The sequence below is a fragment of the Homo sapiens genome, chromosome 16 (assembly GCF_000001405.40).
Source record: "Homo sapiens chromosome 16, GRCh38.p14 Primary Assembly".
NCBI lineage: Eukaryota > Metazoa > Chordata > Mammalia > Primates > Hominidae > Homo > Homo sapiens.
The window spans coordinates 75,689,261-75,701,467 of record NC_000016.10 but is presented as its reverse complement, the minus strand read 5'-3'; the positions used below and the strand labels follow the sequence as shown (position 1 = coordinate 75,701,467).

General features: G+C 42.8%; 1 protein-coding gene and 1 pseudogene across 3 annotated transcripts; both read left to right on the top strand.

Moving 5' to 3' along the window:
- DUXB (double homeobox B) lies at positions 7–7,575 on the top strand. Of its 3 annotated transcripts, NM_001351307.2 has the most exons (5): positions 7–74; positions 1,299–1,453; positions 4,525–4,630; positions 5,353–5,507; positions 6,943–7,575. In NM_001351307.2, the coding sequence occupies exons 1-5, from the start codon at positions 50–52 to the stop codon at positions 7,537–7,539; spliced, it is 1,038 nt and encodes a 345-aa protein (NP_001338236.1). In that variant the 5' UTR covers positions 7–49; the 3' UTR covers positions 7,540–7,575. The 3 variants fall into 3 exon arrangements, with proteins under 3 accessions (NP_001338236.1, NP_001338238.1, NP_001338237.1); NM_001351309.2 differs by lacking the exon at positions 1,299–1,453; NM_001351308.2 differs by lacking the exons at positions 1,299–1,453; positions 4,525–4,630.
- On the top strand, positions 2,652–2,937 carry RN7SL520P (RNA, 7SL, cytoplasmic 520, pseudogene; annotated as a pseudogene).

The following is a 12,207-nucleotide window of genomic DNA, read 5'->3' as shown; positions in this document are numbered from 1 at the left end:
CTGCTCAGTTACTCGCTGATCTCCGTGGAGTCCAGGTCTTCTGCCCAAGATGAATTTGGAGGGCACTTCAGGTGGTAAGTTCCCATCAGCCTTTTCTCTGTTCTTTGGGATTGCTGCATGTCTTGCTTATTTTTCAGAGTTTGTCAAAGTTTATAGCACAAACATGATTAGAGGTACAGACTGGTAGAGCAGCAGCTGTTTTTCGCTGATAAATTGTGTCAGAACAGCCATGGGTGCTTTGAAGTTGGACTCTTGAATTTGAAATGTAAGATGGCAGCCATGAGTCCCATACAAGGGTCATCTACCTAAAGTTTTAAAGTTGACAGTTTATGTGGAGGGGAGAATGTATGAACTGTCTAATGCAGCCTACTGAATTTTACTGAGATATATTCTTTGTCATTAGAAGTACCAGTTCCTGTGTGTCTTATTTCACCTGTTCAATTGTTCCATGAGTTTCACTTTTTTCATTGATTTTTGTTAATTTTCCTCCTCCCTACTGCTTCCTCTTTTGGTAATTTTGTACATTTTCCGTAAGTTCTCTCTTTGGAAACTTAGGTCATTGATTATCGTTTTCTAATATATATATTTAAATGTTTATATACCCAATTTAGCATGACTTTAGCTCTATGCCTAAAGTAAAAATACAGAGTAATAATTAACAGTACGGGTGCGGTGGCTCACTCCTGTAATCCCAGCACTTTGGGAGGCCGAGGTGGGCAGATCACGAGGTCAGGAGATCGAGACCATCCTGGCTAACACGGTGAAACCCTGTCTCTACTAAAAAATACAAAAAATTAGCCAGGTGTGGTGGCACCCCAGCTACTTAGGAGGCTGACCGGGGAGAATGGCGTGAACCCGGGAGGCAGAGCTTGCAGTGAGCTGACATGGTACCACTGCACTCCAGCCTAGGCAACAGATCGAGACTCCATCTCAAAAAATAGTAACAATAATAATAATAATAATAATTAACAAAATGGGGAGGCCAGGACAGGAGGATCAATTGAACCCAGGAGTTCGAGGCCAGCCTGGGCAAGATAATGAGACCTCATCTCTACAAAGAAAAAAAAATAGCCAGGCACAGTGGTGCATACCTGTAGTCCCAGCTATTCCGGAGGCTGAGGCTTAAGAATCGCTTGAACCCAGGAGCGGAGGTCGCATTGACCCGAAACTGCATCACTGCACTCCAATCTGGGCGACAGAGTGAGACTCTGTCTCAAAATAAATTAATTTAATCAAAGTACAGATTTAAACCCATAAATATATTATTCACACTATTCTCCCCCTTTTCTGTTCATCAGGCATACTTCAAAAAGAATTCTGGAGAAACAGAATTCAGTATAACCAGAGTCAAAAGGATATCCTCCAATCATGGTTTCAACATGACCCTTTCCCTGATAAAGCTGCCAGAGAACAACTGGCCAAAGAAATTGGGGTTCCAGAATCTAATATTCAGGTAGGCATTAGATTTCTACTTCATTACCTGTCAGAACCATGGTAAAGAGAAAGACTAGGCCCAGCGCTTTTGCCAATTCTCTTATATCAGGTTATATCAGGTATTTTGCTAAGAAACGTTTTCCTGTTCTACAAAATTAGAAAACAAATAAAAAGGCTGGGCGCGGTGGCTCACGCCTGTAATCCCAGCACTTTGGGAGGCCAAGGCAGGCGGATGACGAGGTCAGGAGATGGAGACCATCCTGGCTAACATGGTGAAACCCTCTCTCTACTAAAAATACAAAAAAAAATTAGCCGGGCGTGGTGGCAGTCGCCTGTAGTCCCAGCTACTCTGGAGGCTGAGGCAGGAGAATGGCGTGAACCCGGGAGGGGAGCTTGCAGTGAGCAGAGATCACACCACTGCATTCCAGGATGGAAGACAAAGCGAGACTCCGTCTCAAAAAAAAAAAAAAGAAAAGAAAAGAAAACAAATAAAAACAAGGATGCGGTTTATGTATTTTACCAAAGGTGGAAATATCATTTGTATTCACTAATGGGGAAGGAGAATATACTGGCTCAGTCTCTCCCAATAGGTAATTAAGTCATATTTTGAGATTTAGAGAATATAGGAAATGAAATCACCATGATAATTATGTCCTATATTTTAGTATTAGAATATTCAGATCGATTATTAATATGTAATTACAAGGAAACTGGGGTAAGAATGCATGTGCATTCCGAAGTCTCAGGCTATTTCTTAATTTAATGTCTCAAATGTGATTCATACACATAGCGTTTGAAATAAAATTCCATACTGAATTATTTTAAATAGAATAACTGACATAAAATGAAACTTAAGTTAAATCTCTCCAGTTATCAGAAAGATACCTGGACTGGGTAGGGTGACCCACACCTGTAATCCCAACATTTTCAGAGGCTGAGAGTGGAAGATCACTTGAGGCCAGGAGTTCAAGATCAGCCTGGACAACACAGTAAAACCCCATCTCTCCAAAAACATGTATTTTAATTTGCTGGGTTTGTTGTTCCACACCTGCAGTCCCAGCTACTCAGGGGCTTAGGTGGAAGGATCATTTGAGCCCAGGAGGTCAAGGCTGCAGTAAGCCGTGATTGCACCACTGCACTTCAGCCTGGCAGACAGAGCGAGACCATGTCTACCAAAAAAAAGAAGTTATCTGTGATTCCTTCTCATGGTGGTGTGCACCTGTACTCCCAGCTACTTAGGAGGTTGAGGCAGGAGAATCGTTTGAGCCCAGGCATTCTGTGCTATACTGTGCCTGTGTTGTGTGGATTGAGTGCCTGCAGTAAGTTTGGCATCAATACGGTGACATCCCAAGAGCTGGGGACCGCCAGGGTGCCTAAGGAGGAGTGAGCCAGCTCAGGTCAGAAACAAAGCAGATCAAAACTCTCATGCTGACCAGTAGTGGGATCATGCCTGTGAATAGCCACTGCACTCCAACCTGGACAACATAGCAAGACTTTGTCTCAAATAAAGAAAGAAAAAGAGATACCTGTAAAGAATATAATTCTATCAGAGAAAATAGTAATTAAACCAATGAAGACCAAGTGAAAATGTGTTTTTAGAGGAAAATAATGAGTTCTGGGTTTTGCATCATATGTATAGTCTCCAACAAGCCATTGGCTATAAGGATCTCAGTCTGAGAGGATATAGGAGAGAAGAAATTTTACTTGTCTCTTCATGTATCTATACTGGATGTGAGAGGCAAGGATTACTCAAGTCCCAGTAACAAAAGTACATTCTATGGGAATACTGGTAATTGGCTTTGAGAGAGGTACCAGTCCCACTTGGAATCATGGTGAAAATGACAAGTTCAGGAAATGACGTAGCTGGAGGTTACCTCTGCCATAGTGTTTATACTTTTTTCACTTGTTTCCAGTTTCCATCTGTACTTAAGATTTCTTAACTAAAACTATTCTGATTCATTAATTTAGAGAAGAGATATAACCTTTTAGCATAGCGGTCTCCAATTTTTTTGGTACCAGAGACCAGTTTTGTGGAAGACAATATTTCCACAGACAAGAGGGGGTGGGTAATGGTTTTGGGATGAAACTATTCCACCACCGGTCATCAGGCATTAGCTATTAGTTAGATTCTCATAAAGAGCTCACAACCTGGATCCCTCAACTGCACAGTTCACAGTAGGGTTTGTGCTCCTATGACAATCTAACACAGCAGCTGATCTGACAGGAGGCGAAGCTTAGGCAGGTAATGCTCACTGGCCCTCCACTCACCTCCTGCTGTGCAGCCCAGTTCCTAACAGGCCATGGACTGCCTGTGGCCCGGGGGTTGAGGACGCCAGCTTTAGCACAATGCCTATGATATAAGAGTGGTTTATTGGATATTCGTTGTCATTAAGATGCTAAATGTTCTTAAGAATGATCTAATTATCAAAATAATAACACTTAGAAATCATTAGAAAATATATTGCAATTCTGACTCTAGTAATGAGGAAACAAGCAAAGAGTTCAATTGGTTTTGTTAGGGACAACGGTGACAAAATGAGGTGTGTGGCTTGCTAGGAGTCTCCTCATCTATTGTTAACCCCGGGACAAAAATGACTAAGAGGAAATACTGATAAGTGTTAGTCCAACTCTTTACTGTGGCTAATTCTGCTCTCCTATTTAAAGAAATTTTTGTGCAATTAATTCCATATGTATTGCATGTTATGAAACCTGATATTTCCTATGAAGAAGTGTTGAGGATCAAGAAAAGATATTCAGAAACCGAAGTCCTGCTAGGAGGGAGGGAAAGAGAGAGACAGAGAGCGATCCTTTGAGAGACCTCATAGGGTCTCCTAAATCAAACAAATTTACTCTGGATGCCACAAAAAATGACCATGAAAGAAAAGCTCCTTTGATTTGAAGGGAGATGCGTGTGTGGTCCTGAATCATATGCCAATAGCAGCATCATTCCTAGGATAATGGATTGCCTTTCTCTTGTGGGCATTATTCCAGCCACAGGCAGTCAAATCAGTTTTGTTCAATTGAATTGATATTTGGCAATATTGACATACACTGAGTTGTATGACTATCACATCTTCTTCTCCTACTTAGGTTTGGTTTAAAAATTACAGAGTAAAACAGAGAAAACTGGATTATAAGTGCTTCTCAGAAAAAGATCAAACCCAGGGGCATGACCAGTCCCAGCATCTGACTCAAGGTAAGAATGCTCAATGGGTCCCATTGAGAGTACGTTGTGCCCAAATTCTGCATCAACATCTCTTAGCTCAGAAGCCAGGGATAGCTGGTTCTGGCATCCTGGTGACCAGAGATAGAAACATTATCCTACATTTTTTTTAGGTGAAAGTAAGTTTGTTATAGAAGTAAATAAACAAAAGAATGGCTACTCCATAGGCAGAGCGGCCTCCCACAATTGAATGAGACAGTCAGGTTCTTAACAAGCAAGCTCGGGGCTTTTTATTTTTTTATTTTTTATTTTTGTATTTTGTTTTGAGATGGAGTCTCACTCTGTTGCCTGAAGTGCAGTGGTCTGATCTCAGCTCACTGCAACCTCTGCCTCCTGATTCAAGTGATTCTTCTGCCTCAGCCTCCCAAGTAGCTGGAACTACAGAGGTGCACAACCACGCCCAGCTAATTTTTTGTATTTTTAGTAGAAACGGGGTTTCACCAGTTGGCCAGGCTGGCCTCGAACTCCCAACCTCAAGTGATCCACTTACCTTGGCCTCCCGAAGTGCTGGGACTACAGGCGTAAGCCACTGGGCCCAGCCTAGCTCTGGGCTTTTTGGTCCTGCTGCAGAGCAATGACCTCTTCTGCCACCTCGGGGATTCAGAGAGAACAAATATGGCCAGCATTATCTTCATGGGTTTGTTTTTCTGGTTTGAATATGAAAATTCCCCAACAGCTTCTGTGTTCTCCTTTAGAATACTTACCTAAAGAAGCCCGACAAAAACAGACATTCATCACATGGACTCAAAAAAACAGGCTAGTGCAAGCCTTTGAGAGGAACCCATTCCCTGATATTGCTACCAGAAAAAAACTGGCTGAACAAACAGGCCTGCAGGAATCAAGAATTCAAGTAAGTTCTATGTGTGTGATCCCAACTATGTCCTGCCTGTGATACTGCCCCCTGGAGGTGTTATTGAAAAACTTACAGCTGACTTGGGTTATCAAAGTCATCAAGGGCGGAAACGGGGGATGGTAAACGCCTGGCACTGAAAGTCCCGTTTTTGTCAAGGAAGAATTTTCAAATCAAATTGCTGTGCACGGATTTGGAATCACTAGCAGAAACTACCCATTTTGAGAACATTGTTAGATTTTCTACAACCTTGGGAGTGTTGTCATTTTGGCTCAGATAATTCTTTCTTGTGAGGGGCCACCCTGTGCATGGTAGGATATTGGTCAGCATTCCTGGCCTCTACCATCTAGATACCAGTAAAGCAACTGCCCACATTCTCTCCCCCCTATTTGTGACAACCAAATAAATCACAGACATAGTCAAATGTTCTCCCACTGAGGGACAAAATTGGCCCCCAAGGAGTATTTTCTTTTACCTAAGTTATGGGGATAGTGATTTAGCGTATGTTAAGTGCTCATGACTGAGGAGGCACAGCCATGCATGGGCTTATGACACAAACTCTCAAATACATTTATTTGTGTTTGTTAGTCATTAATCAGATGAATACACATGTACACAAACTACGAATTCTTATGCACACATCCGTGAAGAGGAAAAAAATGTCAGCCTGGTCAAGAGATCTTTTTTGCTGATCCATTGTTGCAGTTAGAGGGAGAATTCGAGAACACGTTCCTTTCCAGTCAGAGATTCAACTCACCTATACTTAATTGCTAACTGTGTTATAACCTCAATGTATGTATTTGTGTGTTTATGTATATATACAAACATACACATTACACACACATATATACACACATGAACACATGGACTGGAGTTAATTTCACATACAAAATGTATAAGATTTCTTTTTCTCAAACTCACATAAAAAAGAAAAACAAAAGTAATAAAATAAATAATAACAAACATATGTACATACATGATTTCATATACAGTCATCCCTCAGTATCCATGAGGGATTGGTTCCAGGACCTTCTCCTGAATACCAAACTCCAAGGATGCTCAAGTTCCTGATATAAAATGATGTAGCATTTGAATATAACCTGTGCACATCTCATGTATTTTAAAACCTCTCTAAATTAATTGTACTACCTAATACAATGTAAATGCTATGTGAATAGTTGTTAAACTGTATTTTTCTTTGTATTATTTTTATTGTTGCATTGTTTTTTTATTGGGTTTTCTTCTAAATATTTTCAATCCATGGTTGTTTGAATCAGGGTATACAGATGGAACCCATGGATTCAGAGAGCCAACTCTATAAAATCACCCTGTGATTTGTCCTTAGGTTAATAGCTCCTTTGTTTTATAGAGTATCTGATGCAGAGTTACAATTGCTTATGTCTTATGATGTCATGTTGCCCTTTTTCTCATTTAGATGTGGTTTCAGAAACAAAGATCTCTGTACCTCAAGAAGAGCAGAATGGAGCCCATGAATTTATTGGTAGACGACCCAAATGAGAGACCAGATGCAACTGTTGGGTGGCATCCAATCAACCTGTTCCTCCCCACAGACAGCTCTCATTATTTTTCTTGCTCACATTCTTCCAGCGGGCATGAAACTCTTCCACCTGTTCTTCCTTCAACCCAGGCTCCTTGGGATCCCTTCAGGTTCCATGTGAGCCAAGGACCAAATGTCATGATCATGCAGCCCACACAGGCTGTGCAGGAAGGAGAGAAGTCTGATCAGCCTCTGATAATTCCGAATCACCTCCTGACACTGCCAATTCTGACAAAGGACTTAGATACTCCGACTCCCTTCTGGCTCCAATACCAAGAAGAACACCAAAATCACAAAGAACACTCTGGCTCGGGAGTACCACAGGTCAAGAGCCATTCTCAGCCTGAACCTGAGCACAGGGAGCAACAACCTCTAAATCTGGGTCAGTTTGACATATCGAACATTTTGCAAAGGTGGGACGAGATCTGCCAGGCTCTGCTTGCTGAATGGGACCCTCTCAAAGGGACACACTGAGACAGACTTGTGGCAGCAGTAGGCACACTCAGCTGAGAAACATGTCATCCACTTGGCTAATTGTCCCAGCAATATGTGGAAACCTCAAGCCTTTAGGTCAACTCCTGTAATGCAGAGTTCTCCAGTAAAAGGTACAACTTGGCCGGGCGCAGTGGCTCACGCCTATAATCCCAGCACTTTGGGAGGCCAAGGCGGGCAGATCACGAGGTCAGGAGTTTGAGACCAGCCTGGCCAACATGGTGAAACCCTGCCTCTACTAAAAATACAAAAATTGGCTGGGCGTGGTGGCGCGCGCCTGTAGTCCCAGCTACCCAGGAGGCTAAGGCACGAGAATCGCTTGAACCTGGGAGGCGGAGGTAGCAGTGAGCCGAGATCACGCCACTGCACTCCACCCTGGTGACAGAGTGAGACTCCGTCTCAAAAAAATAAATAAATAAATAAGTACAACTTGGCAATTTCTGACATATAGAAATTGGAAGTGAGGTATGGATGGCTGGATTGGTTACAGCTTGGTGTATGCCTTATTTGAACAGAGTTTGAACACTCAGCAGTGTATGAGTGGTTGAAGTATGGCCACTGGAATTGTCCAAGACTTAGCTACTGTTACATATACATACTACTAAGTTAGGTTTTCAATTTTGTCTATTAAGCTAGGTTACAGTTCATCCACAAGTACTCAAATATAGAAGTACAGAGTCCTTCTCAGGCCACATTTACTTTGCTTTCACATGGGTTAGCATCCGAGATAGAGTGATTTTAGCCTCCACAGGATGTATGTGGGGTTTACTTTGGTACAATAAAAATATCTTTGAAAAATATTCTTTTTTTTTTTTTGAGACGGAGTCTCGCTCTATCGCCCAGGCTGGAGTGCGATGGTGCAATCTCGGCTCACTGCAACCTCTGCCTCCCGGATTCAAGCGATTCTCCTGCCTCAGCCTCCTGAGTTACTGGGATTATAGGCGTGTGCCACCATGCCTGGCTAATTTTTGTATTTTTAGTAGAGACGGGGTTTCACCATGTTGGTCAGGCTGGTCTCAAACTCCTGACCTCATGATCCGCCCATCTCAGCCTCCCAAAGTGCTGGGATTACAGGTGTAAGCCACCATGCCCAGCCTTGAAAAATATTACTTGTTTATCTTATCCTTTTGAATTCTGTTCCATTATACAATACTTTCAATTCCATATAAAGGTGTGGAAACAAGGTCAGTACATACAGATCTAGTTTTACAAAGATACCAGTTTGCACTACTACAAACAGTTATGCAGTGAACATCCCTACCAGTGTCTGTGTCCATTATGTGAAGGGGTTCTCTAGGGTTTACATGCTGAAGCACAAGTGCCAGAATATTTTGACATTAGTATTTATTGCTAAATTGGCCTCAGCTGAATTTGTTGCTCCTAATTTGAGCTGCACCTTCATTAATCTAGGGAATCAAAACACATGCACATTCACACACATTAGTGGAGCAAGCCTACCTGAAAAGATTCTGATAGAATTATTTAACAGTGTTAATACCAAAGCAGTGTCATCATCTGGGGTAACACCTGAGGTTCACTGTCCCACGGCCACGGAAAACTAGGATACAGACACACAAGAATGAGGTTAAGAATGAGGCCAAAGAAAGAGAAGAGCTCTCTGTGCAGAGAGGGGTCCTGGAGAAAATGGTTTGCCACTTCCACAGAGAAATGCAGAAGGTTTTATAGATGAGCTTGAGGGGGTGGTGTCTGATTTACATAGGGCACCAAAGATTGGTCAGACCAGATGTGCCATTTGCATAGCACGCAAAGAAGCTGGCTACCCCATCCAAATCTTATTATGCAGATGTGTTCTCTACCTGGCCGCCACCATGTTGCCTGCTTTTTTACTGTACACGTAGTGACAAAGAAAAAAGAAAAGAAAGCCTCCATGTTGAACCTAGCTGGCTTCCAGGTAGCCCTTTTCTATTAGCACACCTGCTGGCATTTATTCATGCGAGCTTCCAGCTTGCTTATCTATGTCTACAGTTCCATTTGACAGGCTGTTTTTTGTTAGTAAAGATTTGGGGCTGCTTTTGTTAAAAGGGAAGTCTTGTTGGGGATCCTTTTACCCTCCCTATCTGCCTAAATAATTTCTCTCTACCTCCTGTATCAATACCATGCCTAGCTTTATTTTTAAATTGCTCCCCTGGATAATTCTTGTTTGCAGGCAAAGATTAGAGCTCTTAGTATAAACAGTCACTCCTCCCTACTTCCAACACATATGTGGAAGGAGTACCCCAGGTTACAAAAACAAGTTTTATATTTTTTTTTTCTGTTTTGTTTGTCAGTGTGTTTTTTGGTTTTTGGTTTTGTTTTTGAGACAGGATCTCACTCTGTTACCCAGGCTGGAGTGGAGTGGCACCATCTTGGCTGACTGCAGCCTCAACCTCCTGGGCTCAAGCAATTCTCCCATCTCAGCCTCAACCTCCCAGGCTCAAGTGATCATCCCACCCCAGTCTCCTGAGTAGCTGGGACTACTGGCACATGTGCCATCACACTGAGCTAATTTTTGTATTTTTGGTAGAAACAGGTTTTCGCCATGCTGCCCAGGCCGGTCTCGAACTCCTGAGCTCAAGGAATCAACCCACCTCAGCCTCCCAAAATGCTGGGATTACAGGTGTGAGCCACCACACCTGGCTGAAGACAGGTCTTCTGAAATACCTTAGTCAGATGAAAAGCAAAGAATAAAAGAATAAAAAAGAATGAAGAAAGCCTATATGACATATGGGATATCATTAAGTGAACAAATATAGAAATTTGGGGAGTTTCAGAAGGAGAAGAGATGGGAAAAGGCATAGAAAAGCCTTTTTGTTAGAAAAGAAATGATTTGGGGGCTGCTTTTTGTTAGAAGGGAAGCCTTGCTGAAGACTCTTTTTACCTGCATTATCTGCCTCCAAAACTAGCCAGGACCAGTCTATGTTCATGTTACCAAAATACCAGGGCTTCAGTCTAGGTCCTGCTGCTGGCCACATGGAAAGCCAATCACGAAACAATAATTATTGCCAAAGAAGAAGGCTTTAATCGGGCACTACAGCTGAGGAGACAGGAGATCAGTCTCAAATCCATCACTCTTACTGATTAAATTAGGGAGTTACATAGCAGGGAAGAAACGTAACTACGCATGGGACAACAGGAACTTGGAAAGGGTAAGGAATCATTCATGATGAATGAAGGGCCTGGCATTCAATCGTTTGGATGTGACTATCTGGTGACTCTCAGTTCTTTGATACTTTTTGAGAGGCCTGGGGGCTTCTTTCCTGCGGAAGGAACTCAGATAAAATAAATGTTAAGTTTCATCCTTTAAGACCAGAAGGGTTGATTTCTATGTTTATTCAAAAAAAACTGTCTATAAGACTATTGGGTCAATTTCAGTCCAGTCCGCTTTTTCTATTTATTGATTCCTCAATCATGAGGAACCTGATCGCCAGCCTTACTGGCTCCTTCATGCTGAGGAAGAACGTTGTCGGCAGCTCCATGCTATGGGCGACCACGTGGCCACCCAGGAATCAAAGGTTAATCTAATACTGTAGTTTTCTTCAGAAACACAGTCTTTCTCTCTTCAGTCCCCAATTTCCGCCAAAGACAAATCACAGCAGAACCAACCTACCTGCAAAATAAGCTTCAGTCCCATATACTTGGCCTGATTACCCACACAAAGTGCAGCAAGAATCATTGTCCACATAGCCTCTCCTAAAATGGCCTTGCTAGAGCCTCCCACAAAGGCATTTCGGTCAAAGCCCTGGGAAAATAACCAGTTCCTCAAACTGTGTCCCATTACAAAAGAAAACGATTCTTTTTTTTTTTTTTTTTGAGACGGAGTCTCGCTCTGTCGCCCAGGCTGGAGTGCAGTGGCGCGATCTCGGCTCACTGCAAGCTCCGCCTCCCGGGTTCACGCCATTCTCCTGCCTCAGCCTCCCGAGTAGCTGGGACTACAGGCGCCCGCTACCACGCCCGGCTAATTTTTTGTATTTTTAGTAGAGACGGGGTTTCACCGTGTTAGCCAGGATAGTCTCGATCTCCTGACCTCGTGATCCGCCCGCCTCGGCCTCCCAAAGTGCTGGGATTACAGGCGTGAGCCACCGCGCCCGGCCTTTTTTTTTTTTTTTTTTTTTTTTTTTGAGACAGAGTTTTGCTCTGTCTCCCAGGCTAGAGTGCAGTGGCACGATCTCAGCTCACTTCAAGCTCTGCCTCCCAGGTTCACGCCATTCTCCTGCCTCAGCCTCCCGAGTAGCTAGGACTACAGGCGCCCGCCACCATGCCCAGCTAATTTTTTGTATTTTTAGTAGAGACGGGGTTTCACCATGTTAGCCAGGATGGTCTCAATCTCCTGACCTCGTGATCCACCCACCTCAGGCTCCCAAAGTGCTGGGATTACGGCGTGAGCCACTACACCCGGACAGAAAACAGATTCTTATTGCACTTATGCAAACATGTTGCCAGGAATGAAGAACATTCACAACTAATTTACAAATTCTTGAGCAATTAGGCAGAGAGAGAAATAAGCCTCAAATTCTGTTTACAAGAGTATACTCTACTCAATTGTTAAAGGGTATAAATAGCTCAAAAAAAAAAGCTCTCCAGACTCTGAAGAATCAGCAATGTTTGTAATAAACAACATCAACAAAAAGCAATACAAATTTATTTCAGTCC

Coding starts and splice junctions, on each gene's coding strand:
- DUXB (NM_001351307.2), top strand. CDS start 50: ATGAATTTGGAGGGCACTTCAGGTG. Junction 4,631..5,352: donor GTCCCAGCATCTGACTCAAG/GTAAGAATGCTC, acceptor GTTCTCCTTTAG/AATACTTACCTAAAGAAGCC. Junction 5,508..6,942: donor TGCAGGAATCAAGAATTCAA/GTAAGTTCTATG, acceptor TTTCTCATTTAG/ATGTGGTTTCAGAAACAAAG.